General features: G+C 39.2%; 1 long non-coding RNA gene across 1 annotated transcript in view; it reads left to right on the top strand.

Annotated features, from left to right (window-relative positions):
* GMDS-DT (GMDS divergent transcript) overlaps positions 1–18,801 on the top strand; it is a 167,839-nt gene that overhangs the window by 69,661 nt on the left and 79,377 nt on the right. Inside the window, exon 4 of the long non-coding RNA NR_046229.1 lies at positions 13,870–13,919. This is a non-coding gene — a long non-coding RNA (GMDS divergent transcript). The remainder of the gene's footprint in view (positions 1–13,869; positions 13,920–18,801) is intronic.

The raw sequence follows: 18,801 nt of genomic DNA on the forward strand, positions 1-18,801 counted from the left end.
TTAAGAAAAACCCATTGTGTTTTCACTTTAATGTCCAGTTCACAGAAAAACTGGATGATACTCGTTTAACTTTAGCTAATATGTTTACACACAGAATTTTTTTATATAATTAACATTTTAAAACTTGCTTAAACCTTCAAAACAAAAATTTTTTAACCTTTTAGTGTAGATAAAAATTTGCATTCTTATGCCTCCTTATAATCCTTTTATCAAAGGTATATTTTACTTTCCTTATACACCTTGCACATAAACTTTTTTTTTTAATAGTTTTACATTCAGGAGGCCTAGTAACTTTTAAATTATACAACATTTCTTGCATAAATTCTTTTTTTATAACATTTTTCTCTTTCATGACTTTTGTAGACAATTCTTCGACATGCCTCAACATTCTGACTTATTACAAACATTTCTGTCTTTAAACAACCAGTTAATTCAGGACAAGAATTTACCATATAACACTCTTTTTACATAAATTCTGCCCCCCCCTTTTTTTCCCTTTTGTTTTTCGAGATGATAACCATTCTTTTCCAAAGCAAACTTCTTTTATGTCTGTGGACTAGACTGTCTAAGGCCACAAGATTAGAAGTTACTATAATACATATTACACTGTTAACTTTTAGCAAACTTTACTTCTGTTGAAACCCTTGTAAGTTTGGGACTTCAATTATCCTTTGCCATTAATAAGGCCTTGTTTTGTCCAAATTAACTTAGAATTGGTATAGATGGCATTTTTTTTTTCCCTTCAATTACCTGGGAGGAACCATCGATCCTCCTGTCCTGAAGGGAGTTCCTCCTAGGTCTGGTTGGTCCTTTGTATGGTAATTTAGATTTAGATCCCCTATTAGGAAACCTGCTGGGTTAAGGGAATTTTCAGTGGTTAATGTTAAATCATCCTTTTTTTTTTTTTTCGTTAGGATACTTCTGAACTGGTGAGGTGTGCTCACAATGAGGTTTCCTCTAAAAGTTATTTTTTTACTTTTTTCTGTTAGCAAAGCAGTTGCTGCTACAGATTGAATGCATTTGGGCCATCTGCAGGTTACTGGGTTAAGGACTTTTGATAGGAAGGCCTCAGTGCTTTCGGGATACGCCCTTGTTTACACTGACAACAAAGTGGTATTGGAGTGTTATAGGGTAAGGAGAATACCTTCAATTATAGGTTCTTAATTTACCTTGGCTTTTAAAGGAATAGTATACACTGTTTTTTTTCTTAACTGCTTGCATATCTCTGTCTTTCTTTCTTTCTCTCTTTGATTTTCTGTCTCTTTTTCTCTTTGACTTTACTTTTGCATCTGTCTGTTTCTCTCTCTGCCTCTCTCTTTCTCTCTCTCTCTCTCTCTCTCTCTCTGCTGGTCTTTCCTTGCCTCTGCCAACCACCTATGTTGCTGTTCTCTCAACCACTGTGTGTGTGTGTGGAGGGTGGGTCTAAAACCAGCTATAACCAAGTGTCTATATATGGGAACTGGTCTGGGTGGCTTGGCTTACAGGTTACTTTGTGCCATACCTTTGAAACAAGGGACCTGTCCAGGCTTCCTTCTGATGGCCAACCCACCTCTAATGCTGGCCAGTCTATCTTACACAAAGTTTTAAGTTTTCCTGGTGTCATAGTACTCCATAGTCTCCCTTAAATCCTTTCTTGAAATTTCTGAACATATTTCCTAGTGGGGTGGGCTTACTTTGTGCCTGACCCATGCTTCTTTGAGACAAAACACCATGCTCACACCACACGCACACCACAAAGAACAGGTAAAAAGGGCACACACACACTTTTACAGTTTACACCAAACCAGAATCAAAACCAAAATCAGAGTATCAGGAAATCCAAGCCAGGTCAAAACCAAAACCAAAGTATCAAGCAATCCAAGTCAAGTCAAAAACAAAAACCAAAGTGCTGGTACAGGCACGTCGTGGGTGATCAGGCCATGCTTCCACTCAAATGGAATGGGCAAGTTCCAAAGACCAGTCTTACCAAGTTTCAGATGTCCGGACTCCAAGTGCCAGTTCCTTCCCGGTGTTCAGCCACTGCGTTGATCCTCCACGGGGGCCTGCCATGCACTGCTCTGGTGAGGCATTCCACTAGGGCAATTGCATACCCAGGAGTGCTCTCAGGATCTGTGTCACTCAAGCTGGCCGGAGTCCCCTGCAGGGATGCTCCACAGGGCAGGCCTAAGCCACCTAAGGGACTGCCTCGACCGTCCGTTAATCACCTTGCTTCCCGGTCAGGGAACCAAAAAATGTAGCAGGACAAGCCACAGACAAAACCCCTCAGACACCGAGTTAAAGAAGGAAAGGCTTTATTCGGCTGGGAGCTTCAGCAAGACTCACGTGTCCAACAACCAAGCTCCCCACATGAGCAATTCCTGTCCCTTTTAAGGGCTCACAACTTTAAGGGGGTCCTCGTGAGAGGGTCATGATCGATTGAGCAAGCAGGGGGTATGTGACTGGGGGCTGCATGCACCGGTAATTAGAAAAGGACAGAACAGGACAGGTATTTTCACAATGCTTTTCTATACAGTGTCTGTAATCTATAGATAACATAACCGATTAAGTCAGGGGTTGATCTTTAACTACCAGACACAGGGTGTGGTGCCGGGCTGTCTGCTTGTGGATTTCATTTCTGCCTTTTAGTTTTTACTTCTTTCTTTGGAGGCAGAAATTAGGCATAAGACAATATGAGGGGTGGTCTCCCTTACTTCCAATGCCAGTTGCAAACCCAGGTTTTTGTTTGTTTGTTTGTTTGTTTAACCTGTGCTTCTGACCAACTGGCTATAAATCAGCATCCTATGACTTCCTCTTTAGGTTCGCTTAGTTTGGTAGGGCAGCTCACAGAACTCAGGGAAACATGTTTACTGGTTTATCATGAAGGATATTGCAAAGGATACAGATGAAGAGATGTATAGGGTGAATTATGGGAAGGGGCATGGAGCTTCCATGCCTTCCTTGAGTGCATCACTCTCCAGGAACCTCCACGTTTTTAGGTGTCCAGAAGGAAGCTCCCTGAAGCCAGTCCTTTTGGGTTTTTATGGAGGCTTCATTATGCAGGCATGATTGAGTAAATCATTGGCCATTGGTGATCAACTCAACCTTTAGTCCCTCTCCCCTCTGAAAGATAGGGGGTGCTGAAAGTAGAAACCCTCTAATCCTGCCTTGATCTTTCTGGGGACCAGCCCGTCATTCTGAAGCTACCTGGGGGCTGCCAGGCATCAGTGAACTCATTAGCATACTAAAAGAGGAATTACCTTGAGGATTCCAAGGATTTTAGGAGTTGTATGCCAGAAAACCAAGATGAAGGCCAAATATATATTTTAGAATATCACAATCCACCCTGATCTTTGAACCCAAATACCTTATATCAAAAGGACATACAATTGAAAAGATACTGCCATATTGCTAGCATCCCATTCAGTCATTAATAATTACTCCAGTCCATCATCTCGTGTGACTGTCTTCCAGGGTGAAGCCACTCAGATTTACAGGTTTCCATCTAATCTTGTCAGCTTCCAAAAGCAGGAGGAGTCTTGGCCAACACATGCTTCACCCTTTCAGGCAGCTGACATAATTGAGCTAAGACAGGATGTCCAGGATGTCATCTTTCAAGGTATTAATGTAATACTAGGTTTCTCTCAATTTGTAATCCATTTGTTCATTCTTTTACCCTCAGCTACTATTCTTCCTTCTCTTCATTTATACCCAAACTTTTCCACCTCTGGAAGAGACATTAGGTTCAGCTACTGTGCTTGTCTACACTGCAGGCAACAATACTAGTCTAGCAGCAAGTTCCTTCCCTTCAGTTCATTCCCATTGACATAGGATAAGGTGAAACAGGTGCAAAACTGTGGATGATGATGCAGGATATTTTCATGACCCCTTTGTTGGATTAATGGCAGGGTGTCTCGTTTACTTAGCCTACCCCATTCAACCCCTTGTGGGAGGGAGCCTGTGAGCAAACGGGCACAGGAACTGACTGGCTTCTGTGGTGCCAGCAAAAGCAAATTCCACTTGCTTGGGTCTGCTGTGCTTCACCCCTCATGGGAGGACGCATGCAGGTGAGCAAGTGCAGAAACCAGCTGCTTTAGTGCCAGCAGGAGTGAACTCTGTGCAGGCCCCATGGCAGCATCTAGCTGGAGGTGGCTGCGACCCCAAGGCCCCAGAGGGCGTGTTACAATGCTCTCTTAGCTCCATTGTCTGAAGACAGCAGTGTGTTATCAGCTCAGTGGGCCCTTTGCCTCATTTTGTGGGGTGGCTGCCCTCCACCAGCAAGGGCAAAGGGCCAGTGTGACAGCCTTTTTGGGTACCTGCACCTGGTGAGTCCCAAATTCTTATCTGGTGCCCAAGAGGAATAAGGTCCCGCAGACGAATTGAAGGATGGTGAATGTGGAGCATTTTATTGAGTAATGAAAGTGGCTCTCAGAGGAGAGGGGAGCTGGAAAGAGGATGGGAAGGGCAGGTCGCTGTCCCCTGAAGTCAAGCTGCCTCTCTACCTCTCTCTTCCAAAGTTAAGTTGCCTCATCCAGCCACCATCTCTGAAGTCGAAGTTGCCTCTCCCCAGTGTCCAGCTGCTTCTTCTGATGTCCAGCCACTTCTTCTCTCTGTCAGCTGAGTATGGGTTCTTTATAGGCACAGGATGGGATCAAGGGGGCTGTAGGTAGTTTTGGAAAAGGCAACATTCAATTGGTAAAAAGACATTACTCAGAACCAATCAGGAGAGAGTGGGCTAACAGAAATGGAAGTTCTCACTTTGGGCCGTGGGTTTCAGGCTTTTTGTCTCGAAGGTGGGGTTTTGCCAGAGACCTACCCCATTTGTCTAGAATTTCTGTGCCTTCTGTTGCTAACACTGTTTTTACCACCAGGCCATATAGTTGCATTTACTGCTAACCCCAATTATGCTAGATGGAGTGAAGTACAACCCACTTCTATCAGGCCCTTAGGAATTCTAGCATAAGATTTCTTAGGAATTATACCTACTTCCAGCACTTGTAGTCGTAGCCCTGGTCCTGTGACCACTGCATCAGGTAGGGAGATAAAAGTTGAGGTAATACATGGAGAAAAGGAAAAAAGTAGGATCATTATACCAGCATATTCCCCCCTTGGCAAGAATCGCATAGTCATACCTGCATACTCTCCAATCCCTCTTCCTCAGATGCACCAGAAAAATGGAGAATTTTAGATCCTTTAGTTCCACTAGTGTTGAGTGTGAGCACACAGTCATGAAGGTGTGTAATCCAATCTTTATGCTTTTAAATAGTGGTTTTAAATCAATGTTTTAATTGCCTGTTCTACTTCCCTATCAAACCATTACTCTAAGGAGAATATCTCTCTGCCTATTGCTGGACATTACAGGCTGTACAGTGTGTTCCTTAGTCTGAAGAAATGATATTGGCCAATAAATCCATGCAATATCTTATTTTCTGGTTTATATCTATATCTCCTTTTTCCCAGATATGAACCACAATTCTTAAGGTTACTGGTAAATACAATTAGCGTATTACATAATTGTTTATTTCCTTTAACCCACACAACATGCAATAGTTTCAGAATAACAGTACTAAATGCAACCAACAATATGATTACTGAAAATAGTTTTGATCTTTTTGTTTTTCATCTCTTTTGTGCTGCAATGATATCACTGTGTTTTAAACTCACTTGGAATAGTTAGCCTCTATGTTTATGCCTCCAACTAAGTATACAATTAAGTTAATTTGTTATGTTTTATTCTCAATTTGTAGATGTCTTTTAAAAAATTATCTTTTGTTTTACAATAAGGTAGGAAATTCACATGGCTCCAAAGTCAAACATACCAAGCAGTTTGTAGTAAGCACAATCACATCTCCCTAACGATGTTTACCTCCTAAACCAGATGTGTGGTGCAAGAAAAGGGTCCAATTTCATTCTTTTGCACGTGGATATTTGGTTATCCCAACACCACTTATTGAAGAGACTCTCTTTTCTTCATTTTGTCTTCTTGGTGCTCTTGTCAAAAATTTGTTGAATGTATATAGATGGTTAATTTTGGGCTCTCTATTCGGTTCCATTGGTCTGTTTCACAGTATCATACTGTTTTGATTAATGTAGCTTTACATGTTTTGAAGTCAGAAAGTGTAAGGCCTCCAGCTTTGTTGTTTCTCAAGATTGCTTTGTCTATTTGGGTTCAGCTATTGTTTGTCTAAATTTTATGGTTCCATATACATTTTAGGATTCTTTTTCTACTTCTGCCAAAAAATGTGACTGGTATTTTTATAAGGATTACTTTGAATCTGTAGGTCACTTTGGGTAATGTGGACATCTTAACAATGTTAAGTACATTCCATGTACATATGGTGTCTTTTCATTTATTTATGCCTTCTTTAATTTTTTTAATCAATAGTCTATAGTTTTCAGGGCATAAGTCTTCACCTCCTTGTTTGAACTTATTCTTTAGTATTTTACTCTTTTGAATGCCATTGTAAATGAGATTGTTTTCTTAATTTATGTTTGCTTTGATTTTTTGTAGTGTATAGAAATGTGACTGATTTTTGTATCTTAATCCCACAACTTGGATTTAGGTAGTTTTATCCTGAAACTTTGCTGAGTTAATTTTTCAATTCTAACAGTTTTTGTGTGGCATTGTTTTGGTTTTCTACTTATAACATTATGACATCTGTGAACAAAGATAATGTGACTTCTTCCTTTCAGATTTGGATGACTTTTATTTTTTATCTTGCCTAATTGCTCTAGCTACGACTTCTAGAACTATGTTGAATAAAAGTAGTGACAGTAGGTATCCTTGCCTTTTACCTGATCTTGAGAAAAAGCTTTTAGCTTTTAGCTATCGAGTATGATATTAGCTATGGACTTTTCATTTCCTTTGTTATTGGAAAGTAATTTCCTTCTATTCCTAGTTTGTTGAGTGTTTTTGTCATGAAAGAGTGTTGAACATTCTCAAATGCTCTTTCTGCATCTATGGAAATCACCATGTCATTTTTATTCTTTGTTATGTTAATGTGGTATGTCATTATGATTGATTTTTGTATGTTGAACTGTCCTTTCATTCCAGGAAAAATTTCACTTTGCTATGGTATATAGTGCCATTAATGTACTGCTAAATTTGGTTTGCTAGGTGACAATTTTTGCATCTCTATTCAGATTGGTCTTGAATTTTTTTTCTTGTAGCCTCTTTGTCTGCCTTTGGTATCGGGGAAATGTTGGCTTCATAAAATGAGTTTGAAAATATTCCCTTCTCTTCACTTTTTTTGGAAGAGTTTAAGAAGGATTTGGCATTAATTATTTAAATTTTGATGGAATTAACTAGTGAAGCTATCTGGTCATGGGCTCTTCATTGTTGGGAGGTGTTTGATTGTGATTCTATCATTTTACTAGTTTTAGGTCTGTTCAGATTTTCTATTTATCATGGTTCGGACTTGGTAGGTTGTATGTTTCTAGGAATTTATTCGTTTATTCTAGGTTACCGATGTGTTGATGTATAATTGTTCATACTAGTGTTCTGTAATACTTTTTATTTCTGTGTTATCTTTTTTAATGTTTCCTCTTTCATTTCTGATTTTATTTGAGTCTTCTGCATTTTTCCTTTTTTTCTTTTTCTTTTTCTTTTTTTTTTTTTTTTTTTTTTTTTGAGACGGAGTCTCACTTTGTCACCCAGGCTGGAGTGCAGTGGTGTGATCTTGGCTCACTGGAACTTCCATCTCCAGGGTTCAAGTGATTCTCCTGCCTCAGCCTCCCAAATAGCTGGGATTACAGCTGCACACTACCATGCCTGACTAATTTTGTATTTTTAGTAGAGATGAGGTTTCGCCATGTTGGTCAGGCTGGTCTCAAACTCCTGACCTCAGGTGATCCACCCACCTCGGCCTCCCAAAGTGCAGGGATTACAAGTGTCAGCCACCATGCCTGGCCCCTGGATTTTTTCTTAATATAACTAAAGGTTTGTCAATTTTATTGATCTCTTCAAGAAAGAATCTTTACATTTATTTTTTTTTTTTTTACTGTTTTTCTATTCTCTATTTCATTTATTTCTGCTCTAATCTTATTGTTTTTTTCCTTCTGTAACTTTGGACTTAGTTTGTTCTTTTTCTAGTTCCTTGAGGTTAGATTACTAATTTGAGATATATGTATATTTTTATACATAAAGTTTACACTATAAACTTTCTTCTTAGTACTGCTTTTACTGCATCCCATGAGTTTTGGTATATTGTGTTTCTATTTTCATTTGTCTCAAGATATTTCCTAATTTACCTTCTGATTTCTTTTGGACCCACAGGTAGTTCAAGAGTGTGTTGTTTAATTTCTAAATATTTGTGAATTTTGCAGTTTTTCTATTGTTACTGCTTTCTAGTTTTATCACATTGTGGCCAGAAAAGATACTTGGTATGATTTCAATCATCATAAATTTGCTAAGATTTATTTTTTAACCTAACATATGTTTTATCCTGGATGATGTTTTATGTGCACTTGAGAAAAATGTATATTCTATACCAGCTGGATGGATAATACAGTACATGTTTCTTAGGTTCATTTGGTCTGTAGGTGATATCATTTGGAGTTGTGTCCCTGCCAAAATCTCATGTTGAATTGTAATTCCAATGTTGGATGAGGGGGCCTAATGGGAGGTGACTGGATCATAGGGGCAGAATTCCCCCTTGCTGTTCTTGTGATAGTGGGTGAGTTCTCACTAGATTTGGTTGTTTAAAAGTGTATAGCACCTCCCCCTACTTTCTCTTCTTCCTGTTCCAGCCATTAAGATGTGCCTCCTTTCTTTTCACCTTCTGCCATGATTGTAAGTTTCCTGAGGCCTCCCCAGCCATGCTTTATGTACAGCCTGTGGAACTGTGAGTCAGTTAAACCCCTTTTCTTTATAAATTACCCAGTCTCAGGCATTTTTTATAGCAATGTGAGAATGGACTAATGCAGAAAATTGGTACCAAGAGTGGGGTATTGCTATAAAGGTACCTGAAAATGTGGAAGCAGTTTCAGAACTGGGTAAAGGGCAGAGACTGGAACAGTTTGGATGGCTTAGAAGAAGACAGGAAGATGAGGGAAAGTTTGAAACTTTCTAGAGACTTGTTAAATTGTTGTGACCAAAATGCTGTTGGTGATATGGTTAACGAGGTCCAGGCTGAGGAGGTCTCAGATGGAGATGAGGAACTTATTGGGAACTGGAGCAAAGGTCAATTGTTAATCATTAGCAAAGAGGTTGGAGGCATTGTGCTCCTGCACTAGAGATCTGTGGAATGTTGAACTTGAGATTGATGATTTATGGTATCTGGCAGAAGAAATTTCTAAGCAGCAAAATGTTCAAGATGTGGTCTGGCTGCTTCTAGCAGCCTATGCTTATATTTGTGAGCAAACAAATGACCTGAAACTGGAACTTATATTTGAAAGGGGAGCAGAGGGTAACAGTTTGGAAAATTTGAAGTCTGGCCATGTAGTAGAAAAGACAAATCCATTTTCTGGGGAGGAATTCAAGCTGACTGCAGAACTTTGCATAAGTAAAGAAGAGCTGAATGTTAACAGCCAAGACAATGGGGAAAGTGCCTCGAAGGCATTTCAGAGACCTTTGCAGCAGCCCCTCCTGTAACAGGCCCAGAGGCCTAGGAAGGAAGAATGGTCTTGCAGGCCAGGTCCAGGGCCCTGCTGCCAGGCACAACCTTGGGACACTGCTCCCTGTGTCCTAGCTGCTCCAGCTCCAGTTGTGGCTAAAAGGGCCCCAGATATGTCTCAGGCTGCTGTTCCAGAGGGTGCAAACCATAAGCCTTGGTGGCTTCCATGTGGTGTTAAGCCTGCAGGTGCCCAGAGGGTAATTGTTGATGCTTGGGAGTTTTCACCTAGATTTCAGAGGGTGTATGGAACCACCTGGATGTCCAGGCAGATGTCTTCTTTGGGGCATAGCCATCATGGAAAACCTCTACTAGGGCAGTGCAGAGGGGAATTGTGAGGCTGGAATCACCATACAGGGTCCCCAATGGGGCACTGCCTAGTGGAGCTGTGAGAAGAGGGCCACTGGCCCCGAGACCCCAGAATGCACCATTCACCTGGAAGAGCCACAGGCACTCAATGCCAGCACATGAAAGCAGCCAAGGGGGCTGCATCCTACACAGCCACTGGGACAGAGATGTCCAAGGCCTTGGGAGACCACCTTTGGCATCAGTGTTTCTTGGATGTGAGACATGGAGTCAAAGGAGAATATTTTGGAGCTTTAAGATTTAACAACTGCCCTTCTGGGTTTTGGACTTGCATGGGGCCTGTAGCCCCTTTGTTTTGGCTGATTTCTCCCTTTTGGAATGGGAGTATTTAACCAGTGCTTATACCCCCATTATATTTTGGAAGTAACCAATTGTTTTCGATTCTACAGGCTCATGGGTGGAATCAACTTGCTTTGTCTCAGATGAGTCTTTGGACTGTGGACTTTTGAGTTAATGCTGGAATGAATTAAGACTTTGAGGGAACTGTTGGGAAGGCATGATTGGTTTTGAAATGTAAGAAGGACATGAGATTTGGGAGGGGCTGGGGTGGAATAATATGGTTTGGATTAGTCTCCCTGCCCAAATCTCATGTCGAACTGTGATTCCCAGTGTTGGAGGATGGGGCCTGGTGGGAGATGATTGGATCATGGGAGCAGATTTCCTCCTTGCTATTCTTATGATAGTGAGTGAGTTCTCACTAGATCTGGTTGTTTAAAAGTGTGTAGCACCTCCCCCAGCTCTCTTCTTCCTGTTCTATCCATGTAAGACATGCCTCCTTCCTTTTCACCTTCTGCCATGATTGTAAGTTTCCTGAGGCCTCCCCAGCCATGCTTCCTGTGCAACGTGCAGAACTGTAAGTCAATTAAACCTCTTTTCTTTATAAATTACTTAGTCTCAGGTAGTTCTTTATAAGCAATACAAGAATGGATCAATAATAGGGTTTCACAAATCCTGTTTTGTTATTGATCTTCTGTTTGGATAATGGTCTATTCATTCTTGACTGTGGGGTATTGGAATCTCCTACTATTATTGTGTTGCTATCTATTTCTCCCTTCAGTTCTGTCAATGTTTGTTTTATGTGTTGGGTCCATATATATTTATTATTGTTATATATCCTTGGCAAACTGACCCTATTATCATTATATAGTGACCTTCTTTGTCTCTTGTGACCAATTTGACTTATAGGCTCTTTTATCAGATATAGGTGTGGTCACCCTGTTCTTTTTGGTTACCATTTGTGTGAAATATCTTCATCCTTTCACTTAGACACTATATCTGATATCTAGAGTGAGTCTCTTTTTATGTAATTGACAGAGTCATAGACATGATACAGTTAAATCTTATTTTTTTCTTAAAATCCACTTAGCCACTCTATGTCATGTGATGTGGGAGTTTAATCCTTTAACCTTTAAAGAATTACTAATAGGGAAGGACTTACTATTGCCATTTTGTTGATTGTTTTCTGTCTTGGAGCTTTTTGTCACTTTTCCTCTCTTGCCATTTTCCTTTGTGTTTTGTTGAACTTCTCAGTTACATACTTTGAGTCATTTCTAATTTTCTGTGTGTCATATATATATATATATATATATATATATATATATATTTGTCATATATATATATATATATATATATATTTTTTTTTTTTTTGAGATGGAATTTTGCTCTCGTTGCCCAGGCTGGAGTGCAATGGCACGATCTCAGCTCACCGCAACATCTGCCTCCTGGGCTCAAGCGATTCTCCTGCCTCAGCCTCCCAAGTAGCTGGGATTACAGGCATGTGCCACCACACTCAGCTAATTTTGTATTTTTTTTTAGTGGAGGTAGGGTTTCTCCAGTTGGTCAGGCTGGTCTCAAACTCCCGACCTCAGGTGATCTGCCCACCTTGGCCTCTCAAAGTGTTGGGATTACAGGCATGAGCCACCACGCCCAGCCAAATATTTTCCTTGTTGTTACCATTGGATTTACATAAAACATGTTATAGTTATAACAGTCTATTTAAAGCTTATAACAACTCAATTTTAATCACATAAAAAACTGCTCTTTTACTTTTCCCCTCTACTTACTGTCACAGATTACATATTTGATGTAATATGTATTTGATGTAATTGTTACTCCTCATCATCAGTTACACAAATCATTACATTTGTGTAAACTGTAATTGATATCATGAGTTCTATTTTTAATGTGTACCCATTAACATATTTTATAGTTATACACTTATAAGGCAGGTCTAGTAGTAATAAACTTCTTTAGATTTTGTTTATTTGGAAAAGTCTTTATTTCTTCATTTTTGAAGGATAGTTTTTCTAGGTAATAGCATTCTGGATTGGCAGCTTTTTTTTTTTTTTTTTTTAAGAATTTGAATTTCCATTCCCTCAGCCTACAAAGTTTCTGCTGAGAAATCTGCTGATTGTCTTATGGAAGCTCCCTAGTATGTAATTACTTGCTCTTCTCTTGCTGCTTTCAAAGTTGTCTTTGTCTTTGACCTTTGCCAATTTGATCATAAAGTGTTGTGGTTTGCACTTCATCAGTTTATCTAGTTAGAGATATTTGAACTTCTCAAATCTGGGTGTCCATTTCTTTCCCTAGATTTTGGAGGTGTTAGACCATTATTTCTTCAAAAAAACTTTCTGTTTCTTTCTCTCTGCCTTCCCCCTTCTTCTTCTGAGACTTACATTATGTGTCCATTGGCCCACTTGACAGTGGCTTATACGTCCCTTATGTTTTATTTACTCTTTTTCATTCTTTTTTTTCTCTCCTCTCACTGGGTAATTTCAAATGACCTGTTTTTGAATTTTCTAATTAATTCTTCCATTTGACCAAGTCTACTGTTGAAACTCTCTGGTACATCCTTCTTTCTTTCTCTTTCTCTTTCTCTTTCTCTTTCCCTCCCTCCCTCCCTTCCTCCCTTCTTTCCTTCCTTCCTTCCTTCCTTCGTCCTTCCTTCCTTTCTTCCTTTCCTTCTTTCTTTTTGACAGAGTCTTGCTCTGTCACCCAGGCTGCAGTGCAGTGGCAGGATCTTGGCTCACTGCAACCTCTGCCTCTTGGGTTCAAGTGATTCTCATGCTGCACCCTCCAAGTAGCTGGGATTATAGGCACATGCCACCACGCCTGGCTGATTTTTGTATTTTTAGTAGAGACAGGGTCTCACCATGTTGGCAAGGCTGGTTTTGAACGCCTGGTCTCAAGTAATCTGCCTGCCTTGGCCTCTCAAAGTGCTGTGATTACAAGCATGAGCCACCACGCCTGGCCTCTGGTACATTTTTCAATTCAGTAATTGTATGTTTCAGTCACTAAATTATTGTTTGGTCCTATTTAATATTTTCTATCTCTTTGTTAACATTCTCATTTTGTTCTTGCATCATTATCCTGAATTTTTTAAATATCTTTATTACGTTTCTTTTCAATGTTTTATTAGGTAATTCACATACGTTCATTTATATAGGGTCAGTTCCTGGAGACTTATTTTGTTTTGTTTTGTTTTGTTTTGTTTTTGATAGGGCAATGTTTCCTGTTTCTTTATGTGCCTTGTAACTTTGTGTTGGGATCCATGCATTTGAAAAAACAGCTGCTTCTCCCACTCTTTGTGGACTAGATTTGTACAGAGAAAGACCTTCACAATTAGCTACTCCTCTTAAACCTTTTTTTTATGTATGTGTCTTCCCTGGAGTTACATGTGTGAATTATCAATTAGAAGGATCTTCTGTTTTTCTTTTCAGGCACTCCTAATCTCTTTTTTTCTCTAATGATTGTGCCTTGAGCAGCTCCCTGAAAAGACAGAACATTGGGTACATGGTGCACTCTTTTCTCCATTTCCCCCACAATGGAGAGGTCACTGAGCTGTGACAGCCACTGTCTGCTGCACTGTGGGTCTTCTGGGATATAAGCAAACTACCTGTCTCTCTTTTGTTCTCAGGAGCTCCCAGGCCTCTACAGTTTGCTGGGTCCCATTACTTTCTGAGACAGGTGAGATGGAAACAAGTCTCTTGGGAAGGCTCCCAAAAAGCCCATTGTCATAGAAAGCACCTGGCTTCTAATGTAAGTGTGAGAATTGGAGAGAAATATCTTGGTAAAAGATAGAAATAGGAGAGAAAAAGTATGTCAAATTCCAGGTCTAAATAGGGGGATCTCTATTGACTTTATTCTGTGTTTTTCTCTAACATACCAATATGATTAAAGTAATAACTTGCTTAACAGCAACTGGGTGTAAACACTGTTATTTTTATTTATTTTCCAAATGAGATAAAATCTGTCTTTGAGCTCTAATGTGTCTAGTTGAAAAGAGATTAAATTTATTGTTTATTTAGGTTACTCTTGCCCAACTTCATCAAAGTGGGGGCTGGGGTAATGCTATTGCTATCCAGAAAACTTGATGAAATCTTTCTTGTTCTTAGTCTATTAAACCGTTTCACTATCATCTGCAGCTCCTGAATCTGTCTGCTGGTGTGTTCTTGTGCATTGTTATCTATGGCCATCTCTGAAATGAATATTCTAGTGTATTTCCAGTTTAGAAAAAGTGCAGGGGACAGAAGAACATGTTAAAGAATACCACAGGGATGCAACAAAGAGGTTTATTTTCTGAGCCCATGGTGACTATTGGAAAACCAGCAACTCTGCTGCTTAGGCTATTTCCCTGCTTTGTGTCAGCTAAACCTTTAGAGTAGGGGTTTGGTGCCTAGCCTCACATGTCAACACCATCAGAGGTCCTACCTCCTCCTGCAGCACTGTGGAAAGTGCTGTTCCCATTTTCATCACCAGCAGTTTATACTATACATCAGCATAGTTTGCCACTGGGATTAGGACTTTTCTCTTATTCTTTCAAATGAATGAATTCTTGCTTAGAATAATCCAGTATTTTTTCCTCTATTAGTATGTTAGTTAGCTATAGCTACTGGAACAAAGTACCACAAAATAGATGGCTGTAAAAGGCAGATGTTTGTTCTTTTAAAGTTCTGGAGGCTACAAGCCCAAAACAAGATGTAGGCAGGGTGGGTTCCTTCTGAGGGCTCTAATGGAGAATTTGGTTCATGCCTTTCTTCTAGCTTCTGGTGATGTCTCACAATTGTTGACATCCTGTGGTATTATCTCTATGTGTCTCTGTCTTTGTCTCTGTTTTTTTTTGTTTGTTTGTTTGTTTGTTTGTTTGTTTCGAGACAGGGTCTTTTTCTGTTACACAGGCTGGAGTGCAGTGGCACAATCATATCTCACTGCAGCCTTGATCTCTTTGTCTCAAGTGATCCTCTCACTTTGACCTCTCAAAGTTCTAGGATTACAAGCATAAGCCACCACTCCTGGCCCTGTCTCTGTGTTCTTTTCTTTTCTTTCTTTCTTTTTTTGTTTTGTTTTGTTTTGTTTTGTTTTGAGACAGAGTCTCCCTCTGTCACCCAGGCTGGAGTGCAGTGGTGTGATCTTGGCTCACTACATTTTCCAGGCTCAAGTGATTCTCAGCCTCCTGAGTAGCTGAGATTTCAGGGATGTGCCATCACATCCAGCTAATTTTTGTATTTTTAGTAGAGATGGGGTTTTACCATGTTGGCTAGGCTGGTCTCAAACTCCTGGCATCAAGTGATCCATCTGCCTCAGCCTCCCAAAGTGTTGGAATTACAGGCATGAGCCACCATGCCTCTGTTTTCTTTTCCTATAAGAAACTGGTCATATTGGAAGGGTGCACCATACTCCAGTATTATCTTAATTAATTATATTGGCAAGTACTTTATTTCCAAATGAGGGTGTATTCTAAGATATGGATGTTAAGACTTCAATATTTCTTTTTAGGGGTCACAATTCAACCCATAACAACTTGTCTGATCTTGTGCATGCTACCCTAGGAAGCCCACCGCTCCCCTCATCCCACCTCCAATTTTAAAACACAAAACTTAGCTTGCCCTTTTACACAGTGAAACCTCGTCTCTACTAAAAATACAAAATATTAGCCGGGTATGGCAGTGTGCACCTGTAATCCCAGCTACTTGGGAGGCTGAGGCAGGAGAGTCGCTTGAACCTGGGAGGTGGAGGTTGTAGTGAGCCAAGATTGTTCCACTGTACTCCAGCCTGGGTGACAGAGTGAGACTCCATCTCAAAAAAAAAAAAAAAAAAAACTTAGCTTGCCCTTTTAAAGGAAGTAGGGAAAATACTTCTCATAGAAAAAATTTAAAGATAATCACTACTATGTTTTTAAATTGGTAATATCTTTATTATTTTTGCTGATTATAAGTGGAATGTATTCCAACTATAAAAGTTTAAACAATTTAGAAACATGAGTAGAATATAAAACAGACCAGTTTCCTGATATAACAGAGAAGGTGAAAGAAAAGAACAAATTGTTGTGGACTTAGTTATTAGAACCAACCCTCCTTCTGAAAAGACCTACAATTTTGGGAAAAATAGAAAAGATTTTTTTTTTTTGCAATCATTGAAAAGCTGCCAAGATGTAAGAAATTCCCCAGCTAAAATCTAAGGGAAAATGAAAGCTCAGGAAGGTAAGCAAAGCACAGAAGCCTCTTGGGTTCTAAAGGCATTTGCTGGTCTGGGAAGGTTGATCTTTGGTTTCGATGGCCTTAGAAGATGACAGAAAGCAAATTCCATGATCTGCCTAAGAAGGGGAGAAAACACTCCCCACGTTAAGATGGGTTCAAAAGGCTATACCATAAGGGTAAAGTAATCAGAAGTGAACTCTCACCAGGTATCTATAAGAAAGGCTGCTCTGAAGTTTATCAGAGGTGATGTGGAGGGCAGGGACCTTATTCCTGAGAAACAGTAACATGTAGCACTTCTCATGGATGTTCAGCATAAATTCTTGTCTCCTGCATGGCCAATTTTTTTTAAGCCTTGAGTTTATTTAAAACTGATCTTGGTATAATCACCTTGGAAAACAGTTTGGTAGATTTTGTAAAGTTAATCTGTGCCTACCACCTGACCCAGGAACTCCATCCCCAAGAGAAACAAAAACATATGTTTACAAAAATATTTGTAAATGCCTGTTCATTTATGTGAATGGGACTATTCATGAATAGTAGCCTTATTGAAAATGACTAAAATCTGGAAACAATTCAAATGTCCATGAGCTGTTGACTGGATAAATGAATTGTGGTATATTTATAACTTGAGTTACTATTGAGATATAAGGACAAATTGCTGATACATACAACAACATGGATGATTCTCAGAAATGTTATGCTGAATAAGAGTAGGCAGACGCAAGAGTATAAAAAAGCAAAAAGTGTGCAATGTAATTTGTGTCAAATTCTAGAGCAAGCTAAACTAATTTATAGTGACAGAAAGCAGATTAGTGGTTCATTAGGGTTTAAGGTGGGAAAAACAGACTGCAAATAGACACAAGGTAAATTTCTTTTTTTAAAAAATTTGAAGTTCAGGGGTACAAGTGCCAGTTCGTTACATAGGTAAACTGACAAACAGTAATTTTCTAAGGAGAAAATTCTACTTGTTGACATTGACAGTGGTTACACAGTTTGTAAACTCTTGTTAAAAGGCACTGATATGTATTATTAAAGTATGCAAGTATTGTTTTATGTGGTTTCCCAATAATATTGTTTAAAAAGTTAGAAAAAAAGTGGTCATTTTACTAATAGTGCCACTACGCATTTACCACTGGGTAGAGATATCTTTATCTTAGGCCTCAAAAAGTCTCCACAAATAAATTTTCATGGATAGTGCCTAGCACACAATTTAAAGAGTGTACATAGATTCACTGCATTATGGGCACAAAAAGAGAAAAAGGAAAAAGCAGAAACATCAGTTTGCAGAAATAAACTCGTAAGCACTTCAGGCAGTGAAAATGTCAGCCATGGATTGATCGTAAAACAATCAGGTTTGCTGTGTTTAAAGAAAAAAATATATGCAGGAATAGAACCCTATAAAAAGTGACCTACCAAATCTAAAAAAGAACCAAATGGAGTAATAAATGGAAAATAGAAAGACTAAACTTTAAAAATTTGTTGGATGTGTTTAACAAAAGATTAAATTCTACCACAGATAAAATTAGTTAACTGAAACATAGGGGAGAATGTTTCATCTAGCCTGTATTATTGAGACACAAAGAGATGCAAAATATAGAAGGAGGGTAAGAAGGTGAGGAGAATAAAGTGAGCTCTAACAAATAAGTGGAGTTCTAAAGAAAGAGAATGAGAGAGGCAATATTTGAGAAGATGAAATCTGAGAATTTTCTGGAATTAAAAATCAGAAATTCACAAATATGGGACGCACACTAAGTACAAAGACGTCCTCATCTAGCCTCAAATAAATATGATAAAATAACAAATACTAATAAAAATTATGCTAGCTAAAGGCAAGAGAAAATGTTTAAAGCAATTATTTTCAAAATATTATCAGAGAGTGAAAAGCAGACTTCTCAACAGCAACAATTTAAACAAGAAGACAATTTGCTGAAGGAAAATAGTTTCCAATCTTATATTCTGTAAGCAACAAAAAAATACCTTTTTCAAAAATGACCTTTAAAAAAGGCATTTTCAGATAAATGTCACTGTCAGCTGAGCATTACTAAATGAAATTTTAATGAATATACTTCTTGATGAGGCATGGTGGCTCATGTCTGTAATCCCAACACTTGCAGAGACTGAGGCAGGAGGTTTGCTTGAGGCCAGGAGTTTGAGATCAGCCTAGGAAACATAGTGACACCCTATATTAGTCCGTTTTCATACGGACTAATATAGGCATACCTGAGATTGGGCAATTTACAAAAGAAAGAGGATTAATGGACTCACAGTTCCACGTGGCTGGGGAGGGCTTACAATCATGGTGGAAGGTGAAAGGCATGTCTCACATGGTGGCAGACAAAAAAAGAGAATGAGACCCAAGCAAAAGGGGGTTC

The sequence above is a fragment of the Homo sapiens genome, chromosome 6 (assembly GCF_000001405.40).
Source record: "Homo sapiens chromosome 6, GRCh38.p14 Primary Assembly".
NCBI classification, from domain to species: domain Eukaryota; kingdom Metazoa; phylum Chordata; class Mammalia; order Primates; family Hominidae; genus Homo; species Homo sapiens.